The following is an 11169-nucleotide window of genomic DNA, read 5'->3' on the forward strand; positions in this document are numbered from 1 at the left end:
CATGGCTGGGCAGGCCTCACAATCATAGTGGTAGGCAAGAAGGAGCAAGTCATATCTTACATGGATGGTGGCAGGCAAAGAGAGCTTGTGCAGGGAAACTCCCACTTGTAAAACCATCGGATATTGTGAGACTCATTCACTATTATGATAACTGTGCAGGAAAGACCCACCCCCATAATTCAATTACCGCCTACCAGGTTCCTCCCATGATGTGGGAATTGTGGGAGTTACAATTGAAGTTGAGATTTGTGTGGGGACACAGCCAAACAATATCATGTGACCAACTTGAAATGTGTCACAGGATATCTGTGAAACTAAAATAACAAGAAAAATAGACATGCCAACATTTTGAAAAGAATTAGTCTCAACAGTGACTTTTATATGATTATTTAAATGAGTTTTATTACTCACTCTTGTTTTCATTCATTAAAAAAAAAAGTCCCTCACAATTTTTCACTATGAACTGTTATCTTCCTCTGATGGCTACTAACCAGAGCCATAAAGAGGCTGTTCACTCATGGATCTTTAACTCAAACACTGCTGTCGCAGCTTCTACATTGTACCAACAGGCCTCTTTTGGGACTGGGAGTCCTTCAACCTTTCTAATCATCAGTTTCCCTGTTGGCCAGTTTTTCCACTTTCCCCAGTATTTGGATTTGTGTTACTCAACACAACTTTTACAAATTTATCCTATTGATATAATATACACAATTTAATACGTTTTGCTCTCTATGAAGTTCCATTTCGTATATATACAACAATAAAACCATTCTGATATCTCCATGAAAACTCTAGACCTTGTCATTTTTTAACCTAGTATTTCCTTTTTGAAATATACAATTTATAGTATTTATTTCCACTATGAATATAAGCTGTTTTCTACTATTTTTTTTAATTGGATGTTGCACATTAAGAAACTAAAATTTACAGGCAAATTAAATGAAAAACAAACATAAAGGATGAAATGATGAAACACAAATCTGTATAATAGAGGAAAACAGAAAAACTCTAAAGCTATAGTAATAAAGATAGTACTATATTGGTGAAAGGATAGGCACACATCGTACAATGGAACAAAACAGTGTAGAAATAGACCCCCACAAACATAGTCAACTGATTTTTGAGAAAGATCTAAGTCAATTTAATAAAGAACAAATAGCCACTTCAATAAATTGTACTGGAACAGTTGAATGTAAATAGATCAATAGAATGAAATTCATTAAAATCTTACAATTAATAGAAAAATTAACTCAAAATGCATCCTAGACCTAAGTGAAAAATGTAAAACTATACAATTTCTAGAAGTAAATATAAAAGAAAATACCTGTGTTATTGTGTTCACCAAAAAGTTTTCAGATATCCCTTAAAAATGATAAATTTTATTTTCTAAAAATTAAAAGCTTTTTCTATGTAACAGGTACTTTTAAGAGAATGAAAAGACAGATCATAAACTGAGAAAAATAAATTACAAATCCTACTTTTGACAAGGAGTTTAGAACATATAAAGAAATGTCAGAACTCAGTACACAATAAGAAATTAAAGGCCCTAATAAAAATTGAGCAAAATATCTTAACAGACACCTCACTGAACAAAATATACAGATAGAAAATAAGCATGTGAAAATAAACTAAGCATCAGTGGTCATTAGAGAATTGCAAATAAAAACAACCATGAAATACTGTTGTATACCCAACCTGACAACACCAAGTGTGCAGTGCTGAGTACTAGGACTGCTATACATTTCTGGTGGGAAAGAAAATGGTAGGGACTCTTTGGAAACTATGTTGGCATTTCCTTATAAAGTTAAATATAAATATAAAGTAAATACTCTGTGACCCAGCAAGCTCATACTTACACTTTTTGAAAGAAAAGTGAAGATGTATGTTCACACAAAATCTTTATGTAAACATTTATGGCAGTTTTACATGTAAGTGCCAAAAACTGGGAACAACCCATATGTCCTTTAACTATAAAACAAATAAACTGTAGTGAATCACTACTACAGTTTGAATATTATTGCATAATATTCCTTTATTAAATGAACAGTAATAAGTCCATAAGGAATATTATGCAATAATAAACCTTAATAAATCGTTAATTCATGGAACAACACTGTATTTTGGTAAGTGAAAGGAGCCAGACCTCAAAAGTTACACATTGTATGAGGCCATTCATATGGCACGATGAAAAAGAGGGAAAACTTACAGGGATAAAAAACAGTATTTTCCATGATAGTGAGTAGAGGGCTGTGTCAACTATAAAGGGAAATTTTTAGAGTGATTGAGCTATTTTATATCAACATTCTTGAAGTTGATACAAGAATATATTATCAAAACCCATAGTATTATATAACACAATGTGAACTTTACAGTATGAATAGTGAAAAACATATTAACTAGAATTTGGAGGGAATCAAAATGCTATTAATTGGTAAAACACTTTAATCGATTGTTACAAATTGTAAGAAAAACTAACAAATAGTCATAAATCAATTACAAATGCCTTTCTTTTTTTTTTGAGATGGAGTTTCACTCTTGTTGCCCAGGCTGGAGTGCAATGGCACAATCTCGGCTCACTGCAACCTCCACCTCACAGCTTCAAGCAATTCTCCTGCCTCAGCCTCCGGAGTAGCTGGGATTACAGGCACGCACCACCACGCCCAGCTAACACAAATACTTTTCTTTATTAAAAAATATTTTTCTGGACGGGCGTGGTGGCTCACGCCTGTAATCCCAGCACTTTGGGAGGCCGAGCGGGCGGATCACGAGGTCAGGAGATCCAGACCATCCTGGCTAACATGGTGAAACCCCGTCTCTACTAAGAAAATACAAGAACATTAGCCGGGCGTGATGGCTGGCGCCTGTAGTCCCAGTTACGTGGGAGGCTGAGGCAGGAGAATGGCGGGAATGTGGGAGGCGGAGCTTGCAGTGGGCCGAGATTGCGCCACTGCACTCCAGCCTGGGCGAGAGAGCAAGACTCTGTCTCAAAAAAAAAAAAAAAAAAAAAAAAAATTGTAAATCTTAAATTCAAAACACTCTAACATTTAGATCATTTCTGGAAGACATGCAGGATGGTAGAGCAATTAGCATATGATCAGACGATTTAACCTTTTCACATTAATGCTGTGGACATTGTTCAGGTAAGACTCACAGCTGCTTCCGATATTCCTTTGTTTTACTGGTATAGCATCAACAATTATATTTAAAACTAGTTTAGAGCCAAGTCTTTCTTCTGTGAACAAAAAAGAAAATTCAAATTTGTTAAATAGAAAATATTTGCTCTCTTGTTTGCTGATATAGTTAAGTGAAAAGAGGAGTAAAAATACTGAGAACTTCTTGGAGATTATCAGGTATTGTGACCTGCTTGAGAGTTGTTTGATGCACTAATATTTAGCAATGGAAGTATTTTATAGTTACTAATGACTGGATGAAGATGATAAGCAGTTTGTGTTACATGTAGCACTCAGCAACGTGGTATTTATTTCTGAAGAAAATATATTATGTGCCCTCTGAAATGAACAGGCAGATGGTAGCAGGCTATGCAAGAGTTGGATAATTTATTACATAAAAACAAGTAAAATATGGTTTGTGAAGTAAGGGTAAAAATTTGTTTGATTAGCAGTTTGCAATTTTTTTTTTTTCCACTAGGCTTGGCTGCTTATTAGTTCTTGGATTTTTCACTGTCCTCATTCAGAAGGTTAGCTTCCGGTGGTGATTAAGAACATCTGAATGGTTCTGAATCTGAATACCTATTCTGACTTTTACTGCTAAGTCTCAGTAACTACCTCTTTTAAATATTATAGTAAAACGATAGTCACTGTCCTGTAGGATTGCTTTGAGAATTAAATGAGATGTGTTGAAAGTATCAGGCTCTCAATAAATATTTACTGTTACTGTTTTTAATAGAAATGACAATCTTTGTCTTAGTATTTAATAATATTTTGCATAAGTCCAAAGAGAAAACAGATTTAAATTTGGCTTATAATATTGGGGAAATATAACAATTTAAAATATTTTTAAATCATCATTCTTATTAAATATCTATTTAAGTGAAACCCCAGGATAGCTCTCTATGGGCTGGATCATGTATTCACTTTGGGCAGTCTATTGTCATTTATGTCACCATGGCATGGAATGTACACTAAATTGGAACTTTATTCATTTATTTATGTATGTATGTATTTATTTTTGAGTCTCACTCTGTCATCCAGGCTGGAGTGCGACGGCGCAATCTCTGTTCACTGCAACCTTCACCTCGTGGGTTCAGGCGATTCTCCTGCCTTAGCCTCCAGAGTAGCTGGGATTACAGTCTCGCTTCACCATGCCTGGCTAGTTTTTGTATTTTTAGTAGAGACGGAGTTTCACCATTTTGGCCAGGCTCGTCTCACTAAATTGGAACTATAAAATACGCTTCAATATAAGATGATTTTTACAAAAAATAGCTCAGTTTTACAAATAAAAGTCTCTGTCTCTGTTGGCGTACTTTGGTGAACTTAGCTCCTCTAATTAAATGATTATTTTCTCCCTCACTGTTTGTTTCTCCCTCACTATTTCTGTAGTGTTCAGCAGTAGCAACTTTAACTAGGACACTTAAATAGAATATTTAACTATCCTTTTGATACCCCTTGAGTTTAAATAGCTAATATACCTCATATGGAGACCCAAATTTTTATGATGGGAAATAATTAGTTGCACTTTCACTGATAGTTTTATATTAAATATTGATAAGGACAGTAGAAAAAATGAAGGAATTAAAATGAAAGAAGTAAAAAGCCTATCCGTCTTTTTATGGATAGGATGATATATATAGTAACTTGGCTACATGAGAGAGTGGTTGTATAAAAGGAATTTAGCCTTTATTCTAAAAACCATTTCTAAGCCACTGAAAAATTTTGACATGAGTGACATACTCTCAGGACTTTGCTGTTATAACCAGTGACCCCCTACATGGTTATCGTGGATGGAGAAAGTCACAAAAATGGCACTTGATTTTCCAGACATTTATGTTAGAACCAACATACTCTATGTTGAAAAAATTATCTTGCTCTTTCTGTCACTAAAAGTGAATGAATTGACTTCATTTCTAGTTTTCCTCACCCTCAGAATATCTTAATAAAGAATTTAAGTATTAAGAAATAAGACTATTTGCAAAGAATTAGTAGAGTTATAAAAAAATCTATAATTTTATTTCATTAATAAAAATGAGATTTATTGAGAACATCTATTGCATTTGTATGTTCTTTGATAAGACTAAATAAAACAAAAATATCAAAATATTACAGTGTTCAGCATTATAAACTTTTTTATTATGCAATGTATGACTATGTAGGGCAGCTGTTTAGCCATATTTTGAGATCTACCCAGTCTCCCATCATCACATAAAATGATTTGTAATATATGATACTATAAACACAAACACAAATATTTGGTCCAAGGCTGGGCATCTGATTATATACATATATATATATATATATATATATATATATTTTTTTTTTTTTTTTTTTTTTTTTTTTTTTGAGATGCAGTCTTGCTCTGTTGCCCAGGCTGGAGTGCAGTGGCACGATCTTGGCTCACTGCAAGCTCTGCCTCCCACGTTCCCGCCATTCTCCTGCCTCAGCCTCCCAAGTAGCTGGGACTACAGGTGCCCGCCACCACTCCCGGCTAATGTTCTTGTATTTTCTTAGTAGACAAGGGGTTTCCCCGTGTTAGCCAGGATGGTCTGGATCTCCTGACCTCGTGATCTGCCTGCCTCGGCCTCCCAAAGTGCTGGGATTACAGGCGTGAGCCACCGGGCCTAGCCAAGATTTACAATTTTCATGTACATCAAATAACATAAGGTCCTACCTTCATACTATAATAAAGCAGTGAGATTCCAGTGCCATTTTCAATCTGTACTCAATTTTTTCTTATAGAATGCTCCAAGAGTCCTTTTCAGTAGGTTAAGCACAAAGCAGAATCTAATTCTTTTTAAAAGTCAGGAAGATAAACATCAGCCTATTATCTTACAGACAGATAATGCATTCAGAATTAAGAAGCATGACTTAATAATTTAATTGCATGCATTTTGGTGTGGTTTGTCATGGACTGAGTTATGTTTAAGGTGCACAATAGAGAAGTCAGTTGTTAAAAAACAGAGAATGTGGACTTTGGAGATGGTATTGTGTAGTCAAGAGAGCCAACAATGAGTGAGATAATTTTCTGTATTACCTTTGTATCCTTGTACAAGTTTTAATTTCTCTAGGCCTAGCTTTCTCATCTGTAAATCTGGCATAATATTTATTATGATTAAGTGAAACAATGCTGATAAACTCTTTTTGTAGAAGCTGACCATAGAAAGTACTTAAAACAAAACGTGTTTTAATATTATTTCCAAATGTCAAATAGCCAAATAAATTCTCCCAGATATTGTGTGACCAAATGAAACATAATGTTAATTGATACATAGATTATGACTATAAAACTTTTGTCAGAATAAGATGAGCTCTTACCCAGGTTAGGTTTACAAGAGAAATTATAATATTAAAACATTTGTAATATTGCAGATATACAGAAGAGTTAATACTATAATGACCATAAATAAATAATATAGTAAACATCAAAAGCTTTATTAAATTTTAAATTTGCCATATTTTCTTTAGCTACATTTTAAGTTAAAAGCTGGAAAAAAAGTTGAAGTTCCTAGTGTACCCTTCTTCAGTCCCTTGAGTAAGATGACATTAATGCTACCCTCAGTTTGACTAAAGATGGGATTTTTCTTAACTCTGGGCCCCTGATCTTCCTTTTCTTCTAGCATTTATTTGAGAAAACGTGTTATTGTAAATTTTTTTCTCTGCTCCTTTGAGATATACATAAAACATTAAAAAAAAAAGGCCTCTTGCCAGTTACATAACCTGAAATGTTCTTCTCAAGGTGTCGGGTTCACAACTGTGCCAATTATCACATTTGGGGTCAAGTATTAGCCCATGCTGAGGTCTGAAGGGAGTGGGTGGAGGAGCAAAAAGAACACTCGGGGGGCCGTAGGCAGGTGAAAGATGATTTTATTCATCAGCAGCTCCAATCAACGGCTTTCTCACACTGTCCGCCCTGTCTCGGCTGCTTATTCTGGCGGCTCCCACATACAGCTGCATGGCTGGCTCTTCCCTGCCTTCAGAGTCAGCAGTTTAACTCTTCCTGTCTGTGGGCACTAGCAGGCCGAGCTGTGTCCTGGCTCCCCCATGTCCGCCTGCAAAGATGGACAGCTCTGACTCTCTCTCTTTCTCTGGGCACCAGCATGCCTGAACAGTGTCAACAGGGCAATTGTACCTTTTACAGACAATAGTGGCATAGAGCCAAGGGATGGCCTTCCCAAGTTATGGCCTCATGGCTGTGATAACAAGTGGAGTTATACACCCGCGCTCTAAACTCATTGAGTCACGCAGGATGTAAACATCCTACCTTGGCCTATCCTTGACCAAAGCACAGCCATGTTCCTTACACAGGATCTCAGAGAAAGACATAGCACCCGTATCTCCCAGTGTCAGTGTTGGAAGTTATCCAAGTCACGCAGCACCAACGTATGTTACCGGCGGCAAATCGGTATAGGTCTACAGCAACCTCAATTCTTGCCTTCTCAGAAGAAAGAATTCGACTGAGGGGCATAAGGCAGAAGGTGAGCCTAAGGCAAGTTTTAGAGCAGGAGTGAAAGTTTATTAAAAAGGTTTAAGACAGGAACAACAAAAAAAAGGGAAAATATACTTGAAAGAGGGCCAAGTAGGCAACTTGACAGACAAGTGTGCGGACTGACCTTTTGACTTAAGGTTTTATATGTTGGCATACTTCCGGGGTCTTGCATTCTTTCTCCCCCCATTTTTCCCTTGGGGTGGGCTGTCTGCATGTGCAGAGGCCTGTTAGCACTTGGGAGGTGAGCATGCAGAGTATCTTTACTGGAGTTATATGCATGCTCACCTGAGGCATTCTTCACTAACCAGCAGAGTATCCCTAGGAGTTCATACACTAGTTAAACTGCCATTTTGCCTCTTAGTGTGCATATGTGAGCCCACTCACCCAACTCTTGATATACTATTGGGAAGCGGCTAGTGACCAGCTTCAGGTCTTCCTGTTTATTGGGAGACTGCCTTTCCCTGGTGCTGATTATTTTAGAGAAACAGTTAACAACTGCCTGACCATCACCTGATGGTCGCCTCACATTCCTGGTGTGTGGGGGTTGGTGGAAGGAGTCCTCTCCTGCTCTGCTCATGTTTGACCAGCTACCTATTGTAATGCCAGATTTTATGAAAGGGTAGAAACCCAACTTTCATGGATATTTTTCTCCAAGTTGCAAAATTACTACCTGCCATAAAGATAAATTAGCAAATCCAGGTGGCTTAATGTCCTCCAGTACATTTCTGCTAGCTCACCCCAGCCCTTAAATTCCTAACAATACCTGCTTCAGTAGAGTTCAGTTCAGACTTACGTGCTTTATTGAATTTAAGTGCAGGCTTAGTTTTAGCCTTTCTCTTCTGTTTCAGAAGTCTTAAAGTTTTCCTTGCTTGTTTATATTTTTCATGTGCCAATTTTGCTTTGACATCCATTATCTTCCATTGTTAATTCCATTGAAAAAACCCTGTATTATATGCAGAAAATCCAGAAGTAAAAGGCCATACCATAAACAGTTAGAAACAGAACAAGCAAACACACAAAAAATGCACTAAGGGAATTATTAGTTTCTCAAAACCATCTATCTTTTGAAGCAGATTTGCAAATTTTCAGTTATCATTTCTAACACATTTAGAATATTATAAGATTTTTTCAACATACACACAATATTTTACATGCCTAGCATCTACTATAATTAAGAACATATTCAAAGGTTTACCACCATATATGTTTTAGTCACCAGGATTTTTTGATCTATTCTTAAATAGTTCTATGGTATTTAAGGTGCACAATAGAGAAGTCAGTTGTTAAAAAACAGAGAATGTGGACTTTGGAGATGGTATTGTGTAGTCAAGAGAGCCAACAATGAGTGAGATAATTTTCTGTATTACCTTTGTATCCTTGTACAAGTTTTAATTTCTCTAAGCCTAGCTTTCTCATCTGTAAATCTGGCATAATATTTATTATGATTAAGTGAAACAATGCTGATAAACTCTTTTTGTAGAAGCTGACCATAGAAAGTACTTAAAACAAAACATGTTTTAATATTATTTCCAAATGTCAAATAGCCAAATAAATTCTCCCAGATATTGTGTGACCAAATGAAACATAATGTTAATTGATACATAGATTATGACTATAAAACTTTTGTCAGAATAAGATGAGCTCTTACCCAGGTTAGGTTTACAAGGCACCAAATAATAGGCCTTGATATTTGTTTTTGAAAATTTTGGAAGCAAACAAAACCAAACTATGTTTTGACAAGTTGTCCTACTGAACCTTACTTACCACCCAGTGCACCTTCCTCTACAAATTAGCTTTTTCAAAAAGACTGCATGATGGATAATTCATTCATTCAGATTCTTCAAATGGCTCCCTAGGACCCCTTCATTTACAATGAGAACAGCTCAGGGAGCTAATTACCAAACTAAAAGAGAAACAGCAGGAAACAGTAATCATTAATCACATCTTTACCACAACTGATAAAGGAAGAATACATTCAGGAAAGACAGTTTTTGCTCTGGCTCATTTGATCTGAAGATAGGTAAAATTCTTGACACAAACTGTTGGTGAACAAATGTCCTCTCAAAGACTAGCTAATTTCCATTAAAATTTTATGGAAAGAAAATAAAAGAAACTGAAAAGAGGTGATTAGAGAAAGTGAAAAATTAAGCAGAAAAAGTCAGTACTTCTTTTTCAGTCTTTGTCTTGGCTATTGTGATGGTTAATACTGAGTGTCAACTTGATTGGATTGAAGGATGCAAAGTATTGATCCTGGTGAGGGTGTTGCCAAAGGAGATTAACATTTGAGTCAGTGGGCTGGGAAAGGCAGACCCACTCTTAATCTGGTGGGCACAATCTAATCAGCTGCCAGTGAATATAAAGCAGGCAGAAAAATGTGATAAGGCAAGACTGGCTTAGCCTCCCAGCCTACATCTTTCTCCCATGCTGGATGCTTCCTGCCCTCAAACATCAGACTCCAAGTTCTTCAGTTTTGAGACTCAGACTGGCTCTCCTTACTCCTCAAGCTTGCAGACAGCCTATTGTGGGATCTTGTGATCATGTAAGTTAATACTTAATAAACTCCTATGTATATATTTGGAGCAAAATATCCATGAAAGTTGGGTTCCCACCCTTTCATAAAATCTGATGTTACAGTACATAGCCGATCAAACATGAGCAGAGTAGGAGAGGACTACTTCCACCAACCGCCACACACCAGGAATGTGAGGCAATCACTATATATAGATATATATACCATTCTGTACCTCTAAGGAACCCTGACTAATACAGCTATCTTTTGAATAAATAACAGAATAGTAGCATGAATAGAAAGATTACATACTTTGCCTAACAGTTATTATGGCATAACAACTAGATTTATTTCCATTACATTTATTACTGGCCATTTACTAGACACCACTACTTTTTTTTAATCCTGCAGTTGTATGATTAATCATAAAGAAACAGTAAGATTTATTTTCTTAACTTTAACTGTAAAATCCAAACTATAACTCATTAATGACTGATGTAAAAGAAAGAAAAACTCACAATTTTTAATAATGGATGGAGGTCTCTATCAGGCAGCTAAACAAGAAATAACAAGCAAATTAAAAAATTCTGTTAAAGTATTTCTTTGTTATAAATTCATAGTTTGAATATAATTAATTGTGTAATGTAATTGTATAATATATGCATTAACAATATGTACTGTACACATATTGATATATATGTACAATATGAATTATAATTGTATACTATAATACAATTAATATGATGTTCTTCAAAATTTCCTAAATGTGAGTGTATGTATGGAAACACCATTTTTAGTGTGGATTCAGTTCACAAACTATCCCTTCTTCTCTGAAAATTGCACCCTGATCTTAAAGAATTGGTCACACATGCAAAGTGTGATTCCAGCCCCCGGTGTGGGCGTTGATAGTTAGACAGGGACAAGCACACAAACCAAGCTGGGATTATCAGCTGTTCTTTCCCAGGAGTATGAAATATGGACTAAAAGACAACCAGTGAGTC

General features: G+C 35.9%; 3 annotated features.

The window, feature by feature from the left end:
- Positions 3003 to 3203: a silencer, noted in NCBI's record as "peak981 fragment used in MPRA reporter construct". NCBI's record gives its function as "represses an SCP1 promoter by STARR-seq MPRAs in K562 erythroleukemia cells {active_cell/tissue: K562}" and the evidence as "EXISTENCE:reporter gene assay evidence [ECO:0000049][PMID:32103011]".
- Positions 7243 to 7443: a silencer, noted in NCBI's record as "peak982 fragment used in MPRA reporter construct". NCBI's record gives its function as "represses an SCP1 promoter by STARR-seq MPRAs in K562 erythroleukemia cells {active_cell/tissue: K562}" and the evidence as "EXISTENCE:reporter gene assay evidence [ECO:0000049][PMID:32103011]".
- Positions 9245 to 10106: an enhancer, noted in NCBI's record as "OCT4-NANOG hESC enhancer chr10:67032718-67033579 (GRCh37/hg19 assembly coordinates)". NCBI's record gives its function as "activates a minimal SCP1, AML or CMV promoter by ChIP-STARR-seq in naive H9 embryonic stem cells {active_cell/tissue: H9 hESC(naive)}" and the evidence as "EXISTENCE:reporter gene assay evidence [ECO:0000049][PMID:30033119]".

Source organism: Homo sapiens, chromosome 10, assembly GCF_000001405.40.
Source record: "Homo sapiens chromosome 10, GRCh38.p14 Primary Assembly".
NCBI lineage: Eukaryota > Metazoa > Chordata > Mammalia > Primates > Hominidae > Homo > Homo sapiens.